At 53.5% G+C, this 20922-nt stretch overlaps 1 protein-coding gene, 1 long non-coding RNA gene and 1 other non-coding gene across 5 annotated transcripts, besides 5 other annotated features; 2 read left to right on the top strand and 1 right to left on the bottom strand.

The window, feature by feature from the left end:
* Window positions 2–13161, top strand: TRIM11 (tripartite motif containing 11). Of its 3 annotated transcripts, none has more exons than XM_017002412.3 (6): window positions 2–683; window positions 4676–4771; window positions 5646–5873; window positions 9672–9694; window positions 9790–9890; window positions 11585–13161. In XM_017002412.3, the coding sequence occupies exons 1-6, from the start codon at window positions 276–278 to the stop codon at window positions 12130–12132; spliced, it is 1404 nt and encodes a 467-aa protein (XP_016857901.1). In that variant the 5' UTR covers window positions 2–275; the 3' UTR covers window positions 12133–13161. The 3 variants fall into 3 exon arrangements, with proteins under 3 accessions (XP_016857901.1, NP_660215.1, XP_011542587.1); NM_145214.3 differs by having other exon boundaries at window positions 5643–5873; XM_011544285.4 differs by lacking the exon at window positions 5646–5873.
* Window positions 51–290: a silencer, noted in NCBI's record as "silent region_1917". NCBI's record gives its function as "represses an Ori minimal core promoter by ATAC-STARR-seq in GM12878 lymphoblastoid cells {active_cell/tissue: GM12878}" and the evidence as "EXISTENCE:reporter gene assay evidence [ECO:0000049][PMID:35858748]".
* Window positions 4359–5033: an enhancer, noted in NCBI's record as "H3K4me1 hESC enhancer chr1:228589505-228590179 (GRCh37/hg19 assembly coordinates)". NCBI's record gives its function as "activates a minimal SCP1, AML or CMV promoter by ChIP-STARR-seq in primed H9 embryonic stem cells {active_cell/tissue: H9 hESC(primed)}" and the evidence as "EXISTENCE:reporter gene assay evidence [ECO:0000049][PMID:30033119]".
* Window positions 6386–7061: an enhancer, noted in NCBI's record as "H3K4me1 hESC enhancer chr1:228587477-228588152 (GRCh37/hg19 assembly coordinates)". NCBI's record gives its function as "activates a minimal SCP1, AML or CMV promoter by ChIP-STARR-seq in naive H9 embryonic stem cells {active_cell/tissue: H9 hESC(naive)}" and the evidence as "EXISTENCE:reporter gene assay evidence [ECO:0000049][PMID:30033119]".
* On the top strand, window positions 9728–9789 carry MIR6742 (microRNA 6742). Its single transcript, NR_106800.1, has one exon. It is a non-coding gene; the product is annotated as a microRNA 6742 (primary transcript).
* On the bottom strand, window positions 9870–12547 carry TRIM11-AS1 (TRIM11 antisense RNA 1). Its single transcript, NR_199157.1, has 3 exons — window positions 12389–12547; window positions 11031–11126; window positions 9870–10094 (listed from the first exon to the last, which is right to left on the bottom strand). It is a non-coding gene; the product is annotated as a TRIM11 antisense RNA 1 (long non-coding RNA).
* Window positions 14734–15289: an enhancer, noted in NCBI's record as "H3K4me1 hESC enhancer chr1:228579249-228579804 (GRCh37/hg19 assembly coordinates)". NCBI's record gives its function as "activates a minimal SCP1, AML or CMV promoter by ChIP-STARR-seq in primed H9 embryonic stem cells {active_cell/tissue: H9 hESC(primed)}" and the evidence as "EXISTENCE:reporter gene assay evidence [ECO:0000049][PMID:30033119]".
* Window positions 15290–15846: an enhancer, noted in NCBI's record as "H3K4me1 hESC enhancer chr1:228578692-228579248 (GRCh37/hg19 assembly coordinates)". NCBI's record gives its function as "activates a minimal SCP1, AML or CMV promoter by ChIP-STARR-seq in primed H9 embryonic stem cells {active_cell/tissue: H9 hESC(primed)}" and the evidence as "EXISTENCE:reporter gene assay evidence [ECO:0000049][PMID:30033119]".

Here is a 20922-nt window from a genome sequence, read left to right as displayed (position 1 = left end):
CGCCTCGGCTCCTCTTCCTGCCGGCATCCGGGATCCCTACGTCCCGCGTCCCCCGAGCGCTCGGAGCCTACGCGCCCAGCGCTACCGAAACCCAGAGTCCTGCGCCCTGGAGTCCCCGCGCCCCGGAGCCCGAGCACCCGGGAGTCCCGAGCCTCGCGCCCCGGAGTGCCCGAGCCTGCGCCGCCGCACCCGGATACCCCGCGTCCCCGCGAGCTGCCGAGGCCGCCCGCCGCCGCCCCGCGGACAGTACCGCCTTCCTCCCCTCTGTCCGCGCCATGGCCGCCCCCGACCTGTCCACCAACCTCCAGGAGGAGGCCACCTGCGCCATCTGCCTCGACTACTTCACGGATCCGGTGATGACCGACTGCGGCCACAACTTCTGCCGCGAGTGCATCCGGCGCTGCTGGGGCCAGCCCGAGGGCCCGTACGCGTGCCCCGAGTGCCGCGAGCTGTCCCCGCAGAGGAACCTGCGGCCCAACCGCCCGCTTGCTAAGATGGCCGAGATGGCGCGGCGCCTGCACCCGCCGTCGCCGGTCCCGCAGGGCGTGTGCCCCGCGCACCGCGAGCCACTGGCCGCCTTCTGTGGCGACGAGCTGCGCCTCCTGTGTGCGGCCTGCGAGCGCTCTGGGGAGCACTGGGCGCACCGCGTGCGGCCGCTGCAGGACGCGGCCGAAGACCTCAAGGTGCTCCTGGGCGGGGGTGGCGTGCAGGGGCGTCGGGGAGCCGGGGACTGGGGAGGCCTGGGCGGGTGGGAGGTTTGGGGGACTGCTCCGGGAGTAATCTGTCTCTGTCTAGGGCGGGGAGCTCAGGATGCAGCCTGCTGTGGGCCTGTGAGGGGGGTGTCGCGCAGGGTGGCTGTGGGGGCTCATGACACAGCCTGTTTCAACCAGGCCCCTTGAGGCTGGGACCATGGCCGCCAATGAGACCCTGCTCTCGGGGGTGAGGGGCGTACCTCTCATAGATAGAGGCTAAGAGAGGAAGGTGGAAGGTGGAAGGTGGTGGAGTGGGGGCAAGGAAAATGTGGCCATACCCTGGCCAGCAAGGAGCTGGAATCAGAGGAAAGTGGGAGAACCTCAGAGGTGGCCGATCCTAGATGGACTCCCTGCAGGGACTGTGTTAGCAGGTCAGTACTTAAGTCCTGGGAAAGCCCCAGACTGGGCAGGATGAGGGGGACACAGTCGTTTCCTCTCTAACCTCCCCTCCAGGGCTGCCCTGCATTTCTGGGTGGGGTACTGGGAGCCATCTCTGCCATCTGAGATGCCAGGGCTCAGCCTGCCTTTTCTCCCCTTGTCTTGCTGCTTAAAACCCAAATAAAACCCGAGCTGAAGGGCCTGGGGCACACGTTCCCTGGCCTGCGCTCCCTCCCGCTGTCCTCTTTCCTCGCTGACCTGCTGCAGGTGTGCTCCTGGGAGCCTACGTGTGGGGCAGATGGCAGCATCTTTGGAGCTTTCTTGATTGCACTTTGTGTGTTGCATCATGGTCACTTGTGTGTGCCAGATGAGCAGTTAAGGCAGTGTTAGAATCAGTACTGAGCTTGATCTGTCCCTATCACAGAGCAAACTTCTGGGATACTAGAATAAATCTGAATCTGTCCCCTTCTGCTTTGGATTTTAGCAGAAAGGTGGTTTAGAGCCATATCCGTGGGCTTGTTCAGACACAGATTCATTTGGGTTTTCTTTTCTTTGCCCATGCAGGAATGTCTACACCTGAAACATGTTAGCCCAGCAGAATTACCCTTGTGACACCAATTACCCCAATGGGTGCAGAGAGTGCCCAATAGCTCTATAGAGTTGACTCGATATAGTTTCATGGGATAGCACTTAACCCTTTCTTTTGCAGGTGAAGAAAAAAATTTCCCTCTACCCTGTTAGGTTCAGTGGCTCAGGGCTGCAAATTAAACTGGCACAAGACAAATTAACAGGAAAAAAAATCATACAATTTGATTAATATTTTAAGTTTCACATGCACAAGAACTTCATAGAAAAGCGTATTTCAGCAAAGGTTTGTGAATTGTGGAGAAGTGACTGGACACAGAAATGGGATTGGGCGTCTAGGACTGATAAATTGTGGGAAAGTGACTAGGAAATAGATGGGAAGAATTAACACAAGATAATGGTCATTGTAGTAAGGTCTGTTTAGGCAGAATCATCTCCCAGGATTAGAGTGCCCTCCTCTTCCTGGTAGAGAGAGGGTGCCTTTCTCATGGGGAATGAATACCCTACTTTTAGGCAGATAGGAGTACAGAGAGCTCTTCCTGCATCTGCTTTTACTCAGAATAATTCTTGTACCACAGCGGTATATTTGGGGATGACATCCTGTTCTTCACTGCCTTAGAGCCTAGGTTATGTTAACCACAGCAAACTGCTTTTACCTGCCCCCATGGGCCTAGAAAGCTCAGTCCCACCTATGGGGCTGTGTGTCCACTTGCCAGAGCTGGGGCCCATTAGCTCCATGACAGGTTCACTCCTTGCCTGGCCCTGACCTGGGGTCATGACAGCTGAACAAGCCCCAGGCTGGGTTGCCCCGAGGTGGTAAACAGGGAAGTCCCAGTAAGCTCCAGTTCCAGGAAGCAGCACCATGGGAGAGAGAAGATGGCCCCCAGATCTCTCTGGGTTGTGTGTCAGATGGCACTTGTGTGGGGAGGGGGTTTGCCACAGGAAGGAGGAGGCCAGGGAAGATCCCAGGCCTGCACCAAGCCCCAGCATCCCAGTTCTGACTACACGCAGGGTAAGAGGTTTCTGTTCTGATCTGGCCAGAGACACAAAGATGCAGGTACCTGAAATGCAAGATCTTTGCCATGCTGGGTATGTTGTGCTGCTTTACAGCCCATTCCATCTGATCAAATGCTGTTTGTAACCTTAGTGTTGAAAACTGAAAACGTTGGCCAGGTGTGGTGGCTCACGCCTGTAATCCCAGCAATTTGGGAGGCCGAGGTGGGCGGATCACCTGAGGTCAGGAGTTTGAGACCACCCTGGCCAACATGGTGAAATCCCATCTGTACAAAAAATACAAAAATTAGCTGGGTGTGGTGATGGGCACCTGTAATCCCAGCTACTCAGGGGGCTGAGGCAGAAGAATCACTTGAACACAGGAGGCAGAGGTTGCAGTGAGCCGAGATCGTGCCACTGCACTCCAGCTTGGGGGACAAAGCGAGACTCCGTCTCAAAAAAAGAAAACTGAAAATGTCCCGTAGGGACTGAGGCATTGAGGGAGAAGTGAGAGGCACTGGGCCAAGTGTTTGAGGTGGGGTTGGGGTCACAGGGGCCAGGCCTGAGTTTTCTGGAACAGGTCGGCAGCAGTGAGGAGAGAGGCCTGGGGACAGGGACCGCCATTTGGGGTTCTTGTAGCTCACGTGAGAGCTGAGCCTAGGCAGAGACAGTAAAGCAGTTGGACATGTCCTTGGTGCTCCAGCGGTCTTCCCGAATCGTGAGGCCAAGTGGTGAACTAAAGTGAGCACCTGGAGCCAGGCAGCTGGGCTGAAGTCCTGGCTCTGCTACCGGGGCAGACTTCTGGACCCTCCCAGCACCTCCATCCTTCCAGAGCGTGGATAGCGAGAGATGAGAGCCAAGACTTGGGGTGGCTGAGAAGCAAAGAGGTGTGGCCAGCACAGGGCCCGTTGCTGATAAGGGTGTCAGATGGGGTGGAAGTGAGCAGACCCTTCGAGAAGTGGGTTCAGGGCACCCCAAGCACACACAGTACAGTGAGCTTGTGTACAGGATTTTCACTGCTTCCTGGTATGCACAGCATGAGGAACCGTGGGAATGAGAATTAAGGACCAAGAAAGCAGAATGGAGGTGTACCCATCCTGGAGCTTATTACAGTGATAGCTGATGAAGCTGAAAATGCACAAGGTCCCGAGTGGCTTGGAGAAAAGATAGGGTGGGTAGCCAGGCATGTCTGTCCGTGCTGACTGTCCTACCAAAACACCATGGTTTGCACATGGCAGATGTATACAAGCTGGAGACTCACAGCTCTGGAGGCTGGAAGTCTAAGATCAAGCCCTGGCAGGTTTGGTGTCTGGTGAGGGTGCTTCCTGGTTCACAGACAACACCCTCTCACTGTGTTGTCATATGGTGAAAGGGGCGAGGGTTCCTTTATAACACTAATCCCATTGTGGCGGCACTGCCCTCCTGACCTAGTCACCTCCCAAAGCCCCCGCCTCCTAACATCATCACACTGGGTGTTGGGATTTCAACCTATGAATTTGTGGGGGCATAGGGCAGAATTTTTGGACCCCAGCATAGGCTTGGTCCAAGGCCCTTATGTGAGCCAGCAGGTGAGAAGGAAGAGGAGGAGGAGTAGACACTGGCTTGGGAACAGGAGAGCTCAGCACCTTCAGAGCCAGCTTGGGGACAGATGGGGTGGGCAGCCAGAACCCTTGAGGTAGCTTTGCAAAGGGGGGTGAGGCCTGGGCTAGGGTAGCAAGGTCGAGGACTAGAAATGCCCCATATGAGAAAAAGGAAAGAATGTGGCTGGGGCTGTCAGCCTCTGGCAAGAGGCTGCCCACCTACCATGAGGGCTCACGCTTATTGGAGGGCATTGAGTTCCCTGATTCACCAGGCAGATTTCAGTTTGTCCCCATTGTCTTTGAGGAGGGGACAGGGTGTCAGGTGCAAAAGGGCAGGCTTCTGTGACAGGACTCATGTCTCATGGTCCTGCCTGGCCTCTCCCGCAGGCGAAGCTGGAGAAGTCACTGGAGCATCTCCGGAAGCAGATGCAGGATGCGTTGCTGTTCCAAGCCCAGGCGGATGAGACCTGCGTCTTGTGGCAGGCAGGTGCTGGGGCTCCCAGGGTCCTGGGTGGCAGGGTAGGGGGTGAAGGTCCTGTATAGGAGACCCCAGGGGGCGATGCTGGCCAGGCACACTTGCCCTTGGCGCCCCAGGACCAGTCACTGCTTCAGCCTGGCCCCACCGAGCCCACTGAAGGGCTGGTCCTTTCCCACGTGCACCTGTCCTGCCAGGTCGTGGGCGTGGGCTCCCATACTGCAAGGGCCCCATCCTGGGGTCCCAGCATGCTTGGGTGGCAACTCTCAGGTGTATTTAGGGTCTGGGCCCTGGAGGTAAATTTGGAGGTTTTGAGGGACTAGGTCATAGATGTGGGATTCAGCCATCCTGAGGAGTAGATTTGGGATCTGTCCAGTTCTGGGGTAGATTTGGGGTCTGGGAGGCTCTGGGTGGTGGATTTGGGATCTGGGAAGCCCCAGGGGAGAATTTGGAGGTCAGGAGGGACCCTGGGTGGTAGATTTGTAGTCCAGCTGGCCCCAGGTGGTAGATGCAGGGTTCTACCAAGCCAATGGGTGGATTTGGAAGTTGGGGAGGGACTAGATAGTGGATTTGGGATCTAGTCGGCCCTGGGTTTAGATTTGGGGTCTAGCCAGTCCTGTGTGGTAGAATGGGATTTGGCTCTCCCTGAGTGGTGGATTTGGGGTTTGGGAGGTGCCACAGGTGGGTTTGGGGTCTGGCCAGCACCAGGTGGTGGGTTTGGGGTCCTGCCACACCTGGTGCTGTGCTTTGGCTTTAGCAGGCCCCGGGGGTGGGGTTGGGTGCAGCCAGGCCTCTGGGTGGGCTTGGGGTCTGACCAAACTTGGGGTCTGGCTGGGCCTGGGGTCTGGCCTCAGCTGTCCTTCTCCCTGGGCTCCACAGAAGATGGTGGAGAGCCAGCGGCAGAACGTGCTGGGTGAGTTCGAGCGTCTTCGCCGTTTGCTGGCAGAGGAGGAGCAGCAGCTGCTGCAGAGGCTGGAGGAGGAGGAGCTGGAGGTGCTGCCCCGGCTGCGGGAGGGCGCAGCCCACCTAGGCCAGCAGAGCGCCCACCTAGCTGAGCTCATCGCCGAGCTCGAGGGCCGCTGCCAGCTGCCTGCTCTGGGGCTGCTGCAGGTGAGCTGGGCGGGGAGCAGCCATGGTGGCCACACGGGCATGGCCTGGCCACACTGGGGGAGGGAGAACCAGAAAGTGCAAGAAGCAGGGGCAGAGAGGTTGTCTGGGCTGAGAGGTGAATGGCATGGCTGGATGTGCCTGGCTGTTGCCTGTGAAATGCTGAGTCAGCAGCAGGACAGATGTCCCACCCCCAAAACCCACGTGCCGAGAAAGGGAAAATCAATTTTCCTCTGTAGATGTAAACAGTTGATGTTTCTTAAGTGATTACATAAGGTCACTCCATCTCGTCCTGACTGACACTGCTGCTCCCTGTGGGCACAGCAGAGTGGGCATGTGCTCGCTGGGACCACCTTGGGCCTCCCATAGGATTCCTGCCATGGTGTCCCCAGCAGGAAGTCCTCGCCCTTCACTCTGTCTTCACCCCGCTGGCACACCCCATGCATCTCCATTATGGGGGGCAGTCTCCTCCTCCTCTGCTTCCAGGAGAGTCTTTTCCCATGTGTGGGCTCCACTCCCTGAGCCGGCCCCCTGGGCCTGGGCTTTCCTTGGTGCACCCCCAAACCAGAACCAGTGGACGCCCTGGCCTGTGGCCTGGCGGCAGGTCAGGGGGCCTGGAGTCAGCTCTCTCCGCTTGGCAAGCGTGCACTGATGAGGACTGACGGCACTCCCATGCTGAGAGGCCCCGTGTGGGCTGGGAGTGTCTGCTATCATCTTCCCGTGGGGTTCAGCTGGATGTTTTTCCCACAAAATGGAGAACGTGTTCCATGCCCAGCATGGTGTAGACTCAAGGGGCCCCAAGATTCAGAGGGAAATGGGCCCCTGGGCAATTCTGGCTCCCACAGAGGAGAGAGGCCGTGTGTGAGTGAATTCAGCCACTGGTGGGGCAGGGCTGCCAGACCCAGGTGGAGCCCACAATGCTGCAGATGTGGCTGGGCGGCTTTGCACAGGGGGTGACCTGCTGCCGGCCTCTGGAGCCCAGCAGAACATCAGTCCAGGCACCGGCTCCTGGTTTCGATTGTCATTTCTATTGTAAGCTTTTTTCTGTTTTTTTGTTTTTTGTTTTTTTTTTTTTGTTTTTTTTTTTGTAGATTTAAGGGGTACAAGTGCAGTCAGAGTGTAGCCATCACCCGAATGGTGCACACTGTACCCAGTAGGTAGTTTCCCCCACCTCCAAGTCTGCAGCATCTGCTCCTCCACTCCGTGTGCCGCGTGCACCAGCTTGGACATCAGCTGGCTTTGAGCCTGGGAAGCGGGAAGGACGCTCGGCTAGCGTCTGTAGAAAGACTGAGGAATATTAGGAGAGGGTCCTGTGGTCAGTAAATTGTGGGGTGGGGAGGTACCCAGAAGACTGAGGAGGAGCCCTCAGGGAGGGCAGAGAGGACAGGTGTTGGAGAAGCCAGGAAGGGTTTAGAAGGAAGGTGAGTTGACCTGGAAATGGGGACCCACAGGGTTTGTGTGAAGATGCAATTTGGGCTTTCAGCTGAGACATTGTGGCATGTGGGCGGGTGGGTGGGTGTTGGGTCTCATACACCCACCTGCATTCACCCCGCTGAGTGGCCCACCCGTCCATGCCTTGGCCAAGCTCCCTGCCCAGGTTTGGCCTGGCTACAAGGCTTCAGGGAGGTCCCTCCTGTCCCCCCAACCTGCCAGCACATGGCCTGCATGCTGTGGGGGTCTGCCCACATGGGGGTTGCAGGAGAGCAGCCTCAGCAGCTCTGTGTTGATGTGAGCTGTGTGCTGGTTTGAGAGGGACAGGTGGGGATGGCTTTGCACCCTTGGCCCCCGGTTGGGTAGGGGAACCCAACCCGGGTTCCCAGCACCCAGGCCGAATGGACAGGGGTTGCACAGTGGAGGTAAAGGCTTGAGTGACTCCCAGGAATCCACCCACTGGGGCTCTGGCTGCTGTGGACTCTGGGGCCCTGGCTGCTATGGACTCTGGGGTCCTGGCTGCCCCCTTCAGCAGGCCCTGCTTGTAGCCGCAGAGTGGTTTTGTTCAAGTCAATGCTGCCCCTGGAGGGCCCGTGTTCTGTGCAGAGACCAAACCCCCTTGTCGAGGCCAAGGTTCTCCTCTACCCCCAAGCCCTTCTCCTGCCGCCCCTGCACCCGGCCTTGTGACAGCCACCACCTGTTTCCAAATGACACCAGGGGTGGGCCGCCCACCCCAGGTAGAATAACCAAGGTGGAGCTGCTCCCAGCTGCCTTGCTCACACCAGCACCATCTGCCCCTGCCCTGTGCACACCCCTCCCTCACCCTGCGCACTCCCCCTGTGTCTACCAACAAATTCTTCTTGGGCTTCAGAACCCTACCAAGAGTCTCCTCTTTATTTATTTATTTATGAATTATTTATTGAGACAGGGTCTCACTCTGTCGCCCAGGCTAGAGTACAGTGATGTGATTATGACTGCAGCCTCGATGTCCTGGGCTGAAGCGATCCTTCCATCTCAGTCCCCTGAGTAGGTGGGACTGTAGGCACACACCACCAAGCTCAGCTAATTTTAAAATTTTTTTTTAGAGATGGGACCTTGCTGTGTTGCCCAGGCTGGTCTTGAACTCCTGGACTCAAGTGATCTGCCTGCCTTGGCCTCCCAAAGTGCTGGCCTCCTTTTTAAAAAATTTTTGGGGCCTAGAGTGTGTTGTTGTCCCCCTAGACAGAATTAACTACCCGTATGTGTGGAAATCTTCCTTTGCCATTTCTCCTACATGTAGGGAAACCCTTGTCTGGGATTATGTCTTACTGACCTCTGCATCCTGGCCTGGTAGCTGGCACCACGTGTGTTAGAATGAACATGGTGTGGGATCGTCTATTTGACAGTGTGGGTTAAATCCTTGCAGTGCACTGAAGACTGCTCTAAGAGATACAAGACCGTGTCTCCTAAGAGCTGATGTTCCAATACCTGGGTGTATCACGCCAGCTCGGGCTGCCACATTTAGTACCACCTGCCAGGAGGCTTCCCCAGCAGAGACTGATTGTCTCCCAGTCCTGCACACTGGAAGACTGAGGTCAAAGCTGGTTCCCCCTGAGGCCTATCTCTTGGGCCTGTAGATGCCTTTTCTTCCCTGTATCCTCACAGGGTCTCCCCTCTGTGGGTGTCTGTGTCCTAGTCGCCCCTTCTTATGAGACTCAAGTTATTTTGGATTGCAGCCCACCCTAATGGCCTCATTTTACTATGATTTCCTCTTTAAAAGCCCTTTTTTCTAATAGTCAAGTTCTGAAGTCCTGAAGTTTCTGGCTTCAACATACGGATTTGGCGGGATGGACACAATTCGGGCCCTAACATGGAGTCAGATGCTATCACGTATCAGGCAGTGACACAGGAAGGACGCACGCCCAAGAGTGGGGCTGAGCAGGGAGCCTGCAGGGCAGGTGGAGCTGGGAGAGGAAGCAGTGCAACCACAGGGTTGGGCTCCAGCTGGGGTGGAGGTGCCCCTATGCTGAAGGCTGGGATGTGTGCCTGTCCTGTCCTTGGCACCCAGAGGCGCCCACTTGGGGCTCTGGGTGAGTGAGCCAACAGCCAGATGCCCTACATCCAAGTGTCAGGCAGAAGTGGGCCTTGGTCCGCAGGGCTGGGCTGCACCCCATTGGTGATGCCTCCTGGCACACATGTCAGAGCCTCTGTCCAGCATTCCTGTGTCTGAGCCTTGCTGCGGGTGGTTTATGGCCCCCTGTGTGTGTTTTTGCTGCCTGACGCTCAAATGTAGGAGAGGGGGACGGGGCGAGGCTCCAGGGGCGGGGAGGGGACTCCAGGAGCAAGCGATGGTCACTGACACCGAGTGTGCTGTTTCTCCTCCCCACATAGGACATCAAGGACGCCCTGCGCAGGTACGAACCCAGCCTCTCCTGGAGGGGGGGCAGGAGGGAGTGGGGTGGGACCCAGCTGTTGGCCATGGCGACAACACCTGGGTTGTCCCCTCTAGGGTCCAGGATGTGAAGCTGCAGCCCCCAGAAGTTGTGCCTATGGAGCTGAGGACCGTGTGCAGGGTCCCGGGACTGGTAGAGACACTGCGGAGGTTTCGAGGTAGGTGTGGAGGCCCCAGGTGGGGAGATGACTCCAGGAGGGGACCTGCCAAGGACCTGGGCAGCCAGCCACGTGTTCTGTGCCCTGCCACTGCCAGCTCCAAACTCACAGTGTCATGGTGGTGGGTTGTTGGGAAAACGTCCTCTGCTCATACTTCTGACATCAGTTGTGTGGGTATTTTCACACCAAACAATTCTTCAACTTCTGGAAACGAATTGGGTATCCAAGGATTCCATTCAGCATTGAACAGAATTGCCAGTGCTGACACTACAGGAGTTAGTACAGACCCCACAGATTAAGGGCTCAGTCCCATAAGACTGCCCCCACTTCAGATGCCAGTCACAACTTCCAGGGGCTGCCCATACTTCTGTTCCCTCAGCGCCTCTGCAGATGTGAGCATTCGCTAGCACAGCCCATGGAACTCAGAAGAGCACTTTACTTACTGTCATTGGTTTATTGTGAAGGATACCACTCAGGAAGAGCCAAATGGAAGAGACACATGGGCAAAGCCTGGGGAAGGGCTCAGAGCTTTCCCACCCTCCCTGGGTGCACCTTCCCAGCACCTCAGTGTGCTCACCAACCTGGAAACTCCCTGAGCCCCAAGAGCTGTTTAGGTGTCTTTGTGGAGGTTCCATTACATGGTTATGATTGATTAAATCATTGGTCATTGGTGATGGGGCTCAACCTCAGACCCCTTTCCCCTTCCTGAGGTCAGAGGCTGGGGCTGAGTGTTCCCGCCCTCTACTGACAGGATTGGTCTTTCTGGTGGCTGGCCTTATGCTGGGCTCTCAGGTCCCCACCTCAGCCACTGCAGTGGCATCAACTCAGGTGTGATGGAAAGGGGCATCTTATGATAGCACAAGATGCTTCTATCAGTCAGGAAATTCCCAGGGTTCTGTGAGCTCTGCGCCAGGAACTGGGCACAAAACCCAAATCTGAGTCTTGTATCACAGTCACCCAAAGGAAGTACTATCCTCAGCTCTTGCTAGCAGGTCAGGAGCCTGTTGTGTAGGAACTGTGTGCAGGCCTCCAGAGGTGGATAGATCTGAAATCGGAGTGGTCAGGGTTGGGACAGCTGCCCTAATTCACATCCTTCATTTGGAGATTGAAAGGAAAAACAGACTGGATGCATTGGCTCACCTCTGTAATCCCAGCACTTTGAGAGGCTCAGGCGGGAGGATTGCTTGAGGCCATCAGTTCAAGACCAACCCGGGAAACATAGCAAGACTCCCATCTCTACAAATAAAAAACAAAAAAATGAGCCAGCCATGGTGGCACACGCCTGTAATCCCAGCAGCTTGGGAGGATCTGAGGCGGGAGGATCATTTGAGCCCAGGAGATCAAGGCTGCAGTGAGCCATGATCGCACCACTGCACTGCAGCCTGGGGCCACAGAGCAAGACCCTGCCTCTTTAAAAAAAAAAAAAAAAGCAACCAAGATTCCCTCTTGATATCTGAAGGCAAAACATGGACCAATTTGTAGGACATTGTAAGTTGCAACTGGACGTAGCTAAGTGGGGAGAGGATGTCCACTTGGAGACAGTTAGTTACTCCAGGAGGTTGTGAGGCTACAGGCCCAGGGCAGAGAGCCAGGCCGTCCGACTGGGAGGATTGTACCTACATGCCCAGGACATGGGCAGATGGCCCCAGCTTGCCTGTGGCTGTGCCTGGGTGACCTTGGGCCTCTCTCTGCAGGGGACGTGACCTTGGACCCGGACACCGCCAACCCTGAGCTGATCCTGTCTGAAGACAGGCGGAGCGTGCAGCGGGGGGACCTACGGCAGGCCCTGCCGGACAGCCCAGAGCGCTTTGACCCCGGCCCCTGCGTGCTGGGCCAGGAGCGCTTCACCTCAGGCCGCCACTACTGGGAGGTGGAGGTTGGGGACCGCACCAGCTGGGCCCTGGGGGTGTGCAGGGAGAACGTGAACAGGAAGGAGAAGGGCGAGCTGTCCGCGGGCAACGGCTTCTGGATCCTGGTCTTCCTGGGGAGCTATTACAATTCCTCGGAACGGGCCTTGGCTCCACTCCGGGACCCACCCAGGCGCGTGGGGATCTTTCTGGACTACGAGGCTGGACATCTCTCTTTCTACAGTGCCACCGATGGGTCACTGCTATTCATCTTTCCCGAGATCCCCTTCTCGGGGACGCTGCGGCCCCTCTTCTCACCCCTGTCCAGCAGCCCGACCCCGATGACTATCTGCCGGCCGAAAGGTGGGTCCGGGGACACCCTGGCTCCCCAGTGACTCGGGCCCTCCTGGAGGAGTCCTGTTGCCTCTCCTGCCCCTCCAGGCCACTGAGTGTTTTGGCCACTTGGAGGACCTGGGAGGAGGGAGTGTGTCCTTTGAGCAAGAGGAGGAACTCCTGGTGCCTTTCTGAGCCTGCGTGGGAGAACCCCAATTCTAGCACTCCAGGAAACTGTGGGAGAGTGTGGGGCAGGCTCCGTCCTCCCTGGGAGACCCCTCCAGCCACCGGGTGCCACTTAATGCCAACAGCCCTTACCAAAGCTGGGAGCCCCATTGCCCCGGCAGCTCTGGCCTGTGGTTCCAGAAGCTGAGAAAACTCCACTGGGGCTTGCAGAATCCAGGGTTCACCTAAGCTGCACAGTTCCTGCAGCTTTGCCAGCCCCCTGAAAGTCTTGTGTACCCCACCTCTGAAGATGCTGGGGGAGGCAGCTGGGATGGGAGCCAGCCCCATGCCTGTCTGTGACCCCACAGTGGGTGAGAGCCCGTCACAGTCCTGGGTGTGGCTGCTCTGGAAGAATTAGGAGGCAGCCATAATAAGAGTCTTCAGAGAGATGATGGGAGGGGCCAGTGAGGACAGGAACAGAGAGTAGATGTCCTATAATAAAGGGGCTTCTGGGAGGTGCCTGGGCACAGATGTCTGTTCAGCAGGTGTGTGGGCCTAGAGGAGAGAGCAGAGCCCAGAAATGTCTTTTGCAGGCCCACGTTCTGACTTGAAGCTTTCGTGGGCATGTTGCCATTGGGTTTTGCCCTTGCAAAGGCTTCCTAGGTCTCCAGTGGCCCCTCAGGACCCAGGGTCCCAGCTGCTGCTTGGGGATGTGCACTGCTGGCCGCCGGCCTTGCAGTCTCTCTACCCTGGGGAGGAACAGTGGCTTCTCAGAGCCTGGGGCATACAGAAGAAGGCAGGAGTTGATTTTTGTGTTGGGTTTGGGGTTTCTTTGTCCTCAAGGTACTGTTCTGTTTCTCTTTACCCCTCTGCTTTATTTATTGTAAGCATTCCCACGTTAAATAAACTTTGGCTGTTGTCTACAAGTCATCCTGCTGGTGCCTGCTTAGTCCAGGAACAATAGCGGGTGCCCCACTGCCCAGCAGAGGGCAGAGCCCCAGGGAGGCTGTTGACGGGGCAGGCGGGAAGCTCAGGCAAAGTAAGGGCCGGGACGGGCAGCCACTTCCCACACCCAGGCACAGATGGGCTCTCCACTTTCTGTGCTCAATATATATGTTCCTTATGTGGAGCTATTGCCGGAATGTTTTTTTCGAGATATCCTGGTAAATGTTTCCTGCATTCCATTGTGCTTAACGAGTAGTCTCCTGATTATCATTTATTCAGTCACTCTCCCATTCTTGTCTTTTTTTTGGCAGGGGCCTGGGGGGGCATTATGTAATACCATGTTGAACAAGATCAGCAGTTTCATTCAGCTGCAACAAAGAGAAGTCTGAGTGGAAACCAGGGGACTGGGCATTTCTCTGTGTTGGGGTGGGGTTTTTGTTTGTTTGTTTGTTGTTTTTTGAGACAGGGTCACCCATGCTGGAGTGCAGTGGTGCAATCACGGCTCACTCACTGCAGCCTCGACTTCCCAGGCTCAGCTGATCCTCACACCTCAGCCTTTCGGGTAGCTGGGACTACAGGTGCACGCTACAGATGGGGCCATGCCCAGCTAATTTTTGTAAAGATGGGGTTTTGCCATGTTATACAAGCTGGTATTGAACTCCTGGGCTCAAGAGATCCTCCTGCCTCAGCCTCCCAAGTAGCTGGGAGGGACTACAGGCGCACACCACCATACCCAACTAATTTTTTTTTTTTTTGGAGAGGTGGGAATCTCACTATTGGCCAGGCTGGTCTCAAACTCCTGGGCTCAAGCGATCTACCCATCTTGGCCTCCAAAGTGCTGGGATTTCAGGCTGAGCCACCAGGCCTGGTGCGGTGAGTATTGCCATAGCCTGTTTCCAAGCGGCTGTGTCCAGGGCTTCCCTCCAATTGAAGACTCCGTCTGCTGCGTTTGTGCCTCCTGGAGTGAGGCAGCCCCCGCCACCTCAGAATTGCTGATCTTGTTCAACATGGTATTAGGTAATGCCACCTATCCCCCTACCAAAAAAAAAGACAAGAATGGGAGAATGACTAAATAAATGATACTCAGGAGACTGTAATGAAGCACAGTGGAACACGAAACATTTACCAGGTTATCTCAAAAAACAATTCCTTCAGCAGCTCCACATAAGGACCATACACCTGAGCAAAGAGCGGAGAGCCCATCTGGCTGGTGGTAACAGCCGGGGGCAGCCTTGTGGGTGAGACCACGGGTGTGCACCCAGGATAGTTCTGGCCATAGCTTTAAAATAAAGCTGCACACTCCATAAGAGAAGGGCAGACTTCATGACTCATCTTTCCGGATGTCCCCCTGCTGAGTGCTGAGGCCCTGTGGGTGTCACCCATGCTTCCAGGCAGTGGAAAGATGATGGGAACATGCAGGACCCTGAGCAGGGAGCCAGTCTCTCAGAGGAGGTGACAGTGAACGGCCTGAACAACTGTGTCCTGCACTGTCAGGGAGCCCCACTGTGTGCAGCTTGCAGTTGACCAAATATTTAGGTTCCCCCAAATTCATATGTTGAAATCCTCACCGCAAGTTCATGTTATGAGGAGATGGGGCTTTGGGGATGTAATTAGTTCATGAAAGTGGTGCCCTCATGAATGAGATTAGGCCCTCTGCAATGGGACCAGGTCTGGAGGTCTGCACAGTACATCACCAATGCACCGTCAAGCATGGTCCAAAGACAGGGTTGTTGTGCAGGCTCCCATTGCATGTTCTCCTCCACACCTGCTGTGCCCACCTGACAGTAGCTGGCCACCCTCAGAGTGCCCATGATGTCCCAAGAGCTGCGGGACATTGTCATGCCGTGGGCTGCATGCAGGGTGCCCAGCACCACCTGTGCAGCACCCAACCGTCCTGGTGCCCCCCTGCGCCCTTGAGCCCCCTGCACCCCAGTGCCCATCTTGCATGCTGCACCCTCCCCATCTCACCCTTGCCCACCACATGCCCCCTGTGTGCCCAATGCCATCCTCCCACACCTGCAGCCTCCCAGTGAGCAGACCCCCCAGGGCCCATGGGTCACCCACGCACCCTAGATCCCCTTATGCCCTGGGTGGCCACGGAGCCCATTGCCTCCCATGTTAGCAGTGCCCGGAGCCTCTGGTCACCCCACACCCAGCCCCGTGCACTCCAGGCACCCAGAGAAGCCCCGCACACCCTGTTTGCTTCCACGCCTCCCATGTCCTGTCCCTTCCCAGGTGCCCTGTGTTCGCTTGGGCAACCCTGCCATCTGGAGGAAGGCCTCCTGGTGCTGGTGTGGAGCTTTGTCCCCGCCGTGCCCCGGATCCCTGTGCTTTCCCTGCCCTACCCTGCCCTCCCCAGCCCGGAGTCACCTCTCCCGACCACCCTGACTTTTTGTAACAACTTAATTGTGGTATAGTTTTCACGCAGTAAAATTCAGCTATTTCAAGTGTACCATTAAAATGATTTTTACTAAATCCACCGTTGTCATGATTCAATTTTAGAACATTTTCATTCCTCAGAAACACGCCTCTGGCCTATTTCTAGTCTCCTAATATAGCATATTTCATTACCTGCTTTTCCACCACTGAACCAGTCTTAGGTTCCTGGGGTAAATCCCACTTGGTCCTTTTACTGTCTTGCTCTATTGCAGTTCACTAATACTTCAAGATTTTTACACCTGTACTCGTGAGGGATATTGCTCTGCAGTTTTCTAAAAGGACGGGGTCTCACTATGTTTCCCAGAGGTCTCGAACCCCCAGCCTCAAACGATCCTCCCGCCTGCCTCCCCGGTTGCTGGGACTACAGGCCTGAGCCACCCACTGGGCTGTGGTCCATAGTGTTTTCGTGGTGTGTTTGTGTGGCTTTGGTACCAGGGTGATGCTGGACTCCTGAGTTAGGAAGCGCCCTCCCCCACTGTCCTGAAAGAGTTTGGGAGGGTCGCTTTCTCCCTTTATTTAATATTCTGTAATCTCCAGTGAAGCCGTGTGATCCCAGCCTTTCCCTTGTAGTGGATTTTAAATTACTAGCTCAATTGCTTTACTTGTTATGGGACTGGTCAGATAGTTCATTTGTTATGTCAGTTTTGGTAACTTTTGTCTTTCTAGATATTTGCTTATTTTCTCTTGGTCAGTAAAACTAACGTTTGGTCACAAATTGATTTTTTTTCTTTTTTTGAAACAGTCTTGCTCTTTTGCCCAGGCTGGAGTGCAGTGCCACAATCTCGGCTCACTGCAACCTCCGCCTCCCAGGTTCAAGCAATTCTTCTTCCTCAGCCTCTCAAGTAGCTGGGACTACAGGCATGTGCCACCATGCCTGGCTAATTTTTGCATTTTTAGTAGAGACAGGATTTCTCCATATTGCCAGGCTGGCCTCGAACTCCTGACCTCATGATCCACCCACCTCAGCCTCCCAAAGTGCTGGGATTACAGGCGTGAGCCACAGCACACGGCCACAACTTTTTGTTGCATTTAATTTTCTCTATTATGTTTCTGTTTTTTATTTCAATAATTTTCACCTTCCTCTTTATTGTTTTCTTTATTTTTCATGCTTTGAGTTTAGTTTGCTCCTCTTTTTTTTTGAGATAGCATCTCATTCTGTAGCCCAGGCTGGAGTGCAGTGGCATGATCTCAGCTCACTGCAAGTCTCAGTCTCTCAGTCTGTGGCCACTGCAAGTCTCAATCTGCAGCGGGCTCAAGCAGCCTTCCCACCTCAGCCTCCTAAGTAGCTAGGACCACCAGTGCACACCACCATGCCCAGCTAATTTTTAAATTTTTTTGTAGAGACAGGGTCTCCCTGTGTTGCCCAGGCTGGTCCCAAACTCCTGGACTCCAGTAATCCTCCCTCCTCGGCCTCCCCAAAATGTTGGCATTACAGGTGTGAGCCACTGTGCCCAGCCTCTTTTTTTTTTTTTTTTTTTTTTTTTTTTTGGGGATACAGGGTCTCTTTCTGTTGCCCAGGCTGGAGTCTAGTGGCATGATCAAAGCTCACTGCAACTTCTATCTGCTAGGCTTAAGCAATCCTCCCACCTCAGCCTCCCAAAGCACTGGGATTGAAGACATGAACCACTGCACCCAGCCTTTTTCTGCTTTCTTAAAATTGAAGCTTAGGCCAGGCACGGTGGGTCATGCCTGTAATCCCAGCACTTTGGGAGGCCCAGGCAAGTGGATCACGAGGTCAGGAGATTGAGACCATCCTAGCCAATATGGTGAAACCTGGTCTCTACTAAAATACAAAAAATTAGCCAGGCGTGGTGGCGCGTGCCTGTAATCCCAGCTACTCGGGAGGCTGAGGCAGGGGAATCACTTGAACCTGGGAGGCAGAGATTGCAGTGAGCCGAGAGATCACGCCACTGCACTCCAGCCTGGCAACAGAGGGAGACTCCATCTCAAAAAAAAAAGAAGCTTAGGTTATTGATTTCTGATCTTTCTTCTTTTCTATTTATTTATTTTTGAGGTGGAGTCTCACTCTTGTCGCCCAGGTTGGAGTGCAGTGGTGCAATCTGGGCTCACTGCAACCTCTGCCCCTGGGTTCAAGGGAGTCTCCTGCCTCAGCCTCCTGAGTAGCTGGGATTACAGGTGTGCACCACCACACCCAGCTAATTTTTGTATTTTTAGTAGAGATGGGGTTTCGCCATGTTGGCCAGGCTGGTCTTGAACTCCTGATCTCAGGTGATCCACCTGCCTCGGCCTCCCAAAGTGTTGGGATTACAGGCATGAGCCAACACCCAACCCTTTCTTCTTTTTTCTTTTTTTTTTTTTTTTTTGAGATGGAGTTTTGCTCTTGTCACCCAGGCTGTAGTGCAATGGCATGATCTCTGCTCACTGCAACCTCTGCCTCCCAGGTTCAAGCAATTCTTCTGCCTCAGCTTCCCAAGCAGCTGGGATTACAGGTGCCTGCCACCATACCCAGCTAATTTTTGTATTTTTAGTAGAGACGGGTTTTCACCACGTTGGCTAGGCTGGTCTCAAACCCCTGACCTCAAGTTATCCACCCGCCTTGGCCTCCCAAAGTGCTGGGCTTACAGGCGTAAGCCGCCCAGCCTCTTCTTTTCTAATGCAGGGATTTATGGCTATACATTTCCCTTTAGGCACTACTTGAGCTGCACCCCATGACTTTCAGTATGCCATTTTCATTTTCACTTGGCCAAAATACTTCCTAATTGTGTTTGAGATTTCTTCTTTGACACACAGTTTATTTTAAAGTGCATTGTTTAATTTTCAAATATTTGTAAATTTTCCAAGTTTCCTTCTATTGTTGACTTTAATTAAACTCCATTTTGGTCAGAAAATGTTCTTTGTGTGGTGTCAGCTGAGACCGGTTTTACAGCCTAGTGGATTGCCAATCCGGAGAAGGCTCCACGTGCATTGGGAAGAACATTCATTCTGCTGTTATCCATTGGAGGGTTCTGTTCTGTCCATGACTATACCCACGAGAGTTTAATTTATGGAGATGACTGAATGACAACATGGAGAGCCTAATGTTATTGAAAGAAGAATTTATGGCTGGGCATTGTGGCACACATCTGTAATCCCAGCACTTTGGGAGGCCGAGGCAGGCAGATCACTTGAGGTCAGGAGTTTGAGACCAGCCTGGCTAACATGTTGAAACCCTGTCTCTACTAAAAATACAAAAATTAGTCTGGGGTGGTGGCACACACCTATAATCTCAGCTACTTAGGAGGCAGGAGAATCACTTGAACCTGGAAGGCAGAGGTTGCAGTGAGCCAAGATCACACCATGCACTCCAGCCTAGGTGAAAGAGCGAGACTCCATCTCAAAAAGAGAAAAAAAAAAAAAAAGAAAGAAGAATTTATCACTTACTTTTCCCAAGAGAAGGAGCATGCCAGGACACCAGGGCCACCTGAGGAAACACCAGGGTCAGCCAGGGGGTATAAAGGAGCAGGGGCAAGCCTGGGCCAGAACCTTTGATGGGATTTCTGTGGGAAAGACAAGGCAGGACAGGGTAACACTTAGGACTGGTGACTCTATAATTCTGGTGGGCTTTGGGCTCAGAGACCATCCCTAGCTGCCAGGTGCCTGGCCCTGGGTTAATTTAGGCATATTGGCTTGTGCTGAGGGTTTGATAAGGAGCTTGTTGGGATCTGGGCTCTGGATTGGTTGGTCTGAAGGTTAAAGGTGTGGTTCTGGGCAAGCCCTCTGGCTGTCTCTGAGAAATGGCCTGCCCTGGGAGGAGGAGGCTGTCTCTCCCCTGCCATCTAGGCCACATGTTCAGAGCAACAAGAATATAGAAAATAAAAATATATAGTGAATACAGTTGGCACTGTGATGACAGGTTGCCAAATAGACAAATCTAGAATCTTAGAACACACAGTTGTGGCCAGGCATGATGGCTCACACCTGTAATTCCAGCACTTTGGGAGGCCAAGGCAGGCAGATTGCCTGAGCCCAGGAGTTCGAGACCAGCCTGACCAACATAGTAAAATCCCATCTCTACTAAATACAAAAAATTAGCCAGGCATGGTGGTGCGTGCCTGTAATCCCAGCTACTAGGGAGGCTGAGGCAGGAGAATTGCTTGAACCTGGGAGGCGGATGTTGCAGTGAGCCAAGATCATGCCGTTGCACTCCAGCCTGGGCAACAAGAGCGAAACTCCGTCTCAAAAAAAAAAAGAAAACACAGAACATTTATGGATGTCAGTTTTGCCCAATTGGCTGATAGTGTTTTGTAAGTCTTCTATATTCTTGGTCATTTTTTCTAGTTATTTTGTTCATTATTGAGGAAGTGCTATTGGAATCATTAACCATTATTGTTGAATTGTCCATTTTTCCCTTTAGTTCTGATAGCTTTTGCCTCATGGATTTTGAGACTCTGTTGTCAGGTGTGTGTATGTTTATGAGGCGATTCCAATCTTCCTAAATTTATTAATACTTGTTTTGTGGCCCAACGTGGTTTATCTTGAGAATGTTCCCTATGTGCTTGAGAAGAATGCGTCTTCTGCTGTTGTTAGGTAGAATATTTGTATGTGTCTTTTAGATCTAATTGGTGTATAATGTTGTTCAAGTTTTCTGTTTGCTTATTGATCTTCTGGTTGTTCTATTCATTATTGAAAGTGGGGTATTGAAATCTCTTACTATTATTGTGTTATTGTTTCTTCCTTTAGTTCTGTTCATGTTTGCTCGGCTGTTAGGTGGGAAAATGCCATTTAGCATTTCTTGTAAAGAAGGTCTAGTGGTGATGAACTCCCTCAGCTTTTGTTTGTCTGGGAAAGTCTTCATCTTGCCTTTATTTTCAAATGAAAGCTTTGCTAGGAATAAGATTCTTGGTTAGCAGTTTTTTTTTCCTTCAGCACTTTGAAAATACTATCCCACTCTCTTTCAGCCTGCAAGGTTTCTGCTGAGAAGTCCCCCAGTAATCTGATTGGAGCTCCCATGTATGTCACTTTCCTCATGCTGCTTTCAAAATTCTCTTTTTGTCTTTGACTTTGGCAATCTGATTATAATGTGTCTTAGTGTAGACTTCTTTGGTTTATCATATTGGGGGCCGTTTAGACTTCACAAATCTAGATGTTTATTTGCCTCCCCAGATTTGGGGAGTTTTAAGGCATTATTTCTTTTTTGGTTTTTAGGGCATTATTTCTTTAAATAAGCATTCTGCCCCTTTCTCTCTCTGTTCTAGGATTCCCTTAGGCTTTCTTTATTCCTTTTTATTATTATTTTTTTGCTCCTCTAACTGGATAATTTTAAATGACCTGTCTTTGAGTTTGCTGATTTTTCTATTTGATCA

This window comes from Homo sapiens, chromosome 1 (genome assembly GCF_000001405.40).
Source record: "Homo sapiens chromosome 1, GRCh38.p14 Primary Assembly".
NCBI lineage: Eukaryota > Metazoa > Chordata > Mammalia > Primates > Hominidae > Homo > Homo sapiens.
Note: the sequence above shows the minus strand (reverse complement) of the source record. Positions and strands in the feature narration are given on the sequence as shown.

Bases quoted from the DNA above. Each gene is read 5' to 3' on its own strand.
- TRIM11 (NM_145214.3), top strand. From the start codon at position 276: ATGGCCGCCCCCGACCTGTCCACCAACCTCCAGGAGGAGGCCACCTGC. The intron at 4,772-5,642 runs GCAGGTGCTGGG...TGGGCTCCACAG, and splicing joins AGACCTGCGTCTTGTGGCAG to AAGATGGTGGAGAGCCAGCG. The intron at 9,695-9,789 runs GTACGAACCCAG...TGTCCCCTCTAG, and splicing joins ATCAAGGACGCCCTGCGCAG to GGTCCAGGATGTGAAGCTGC.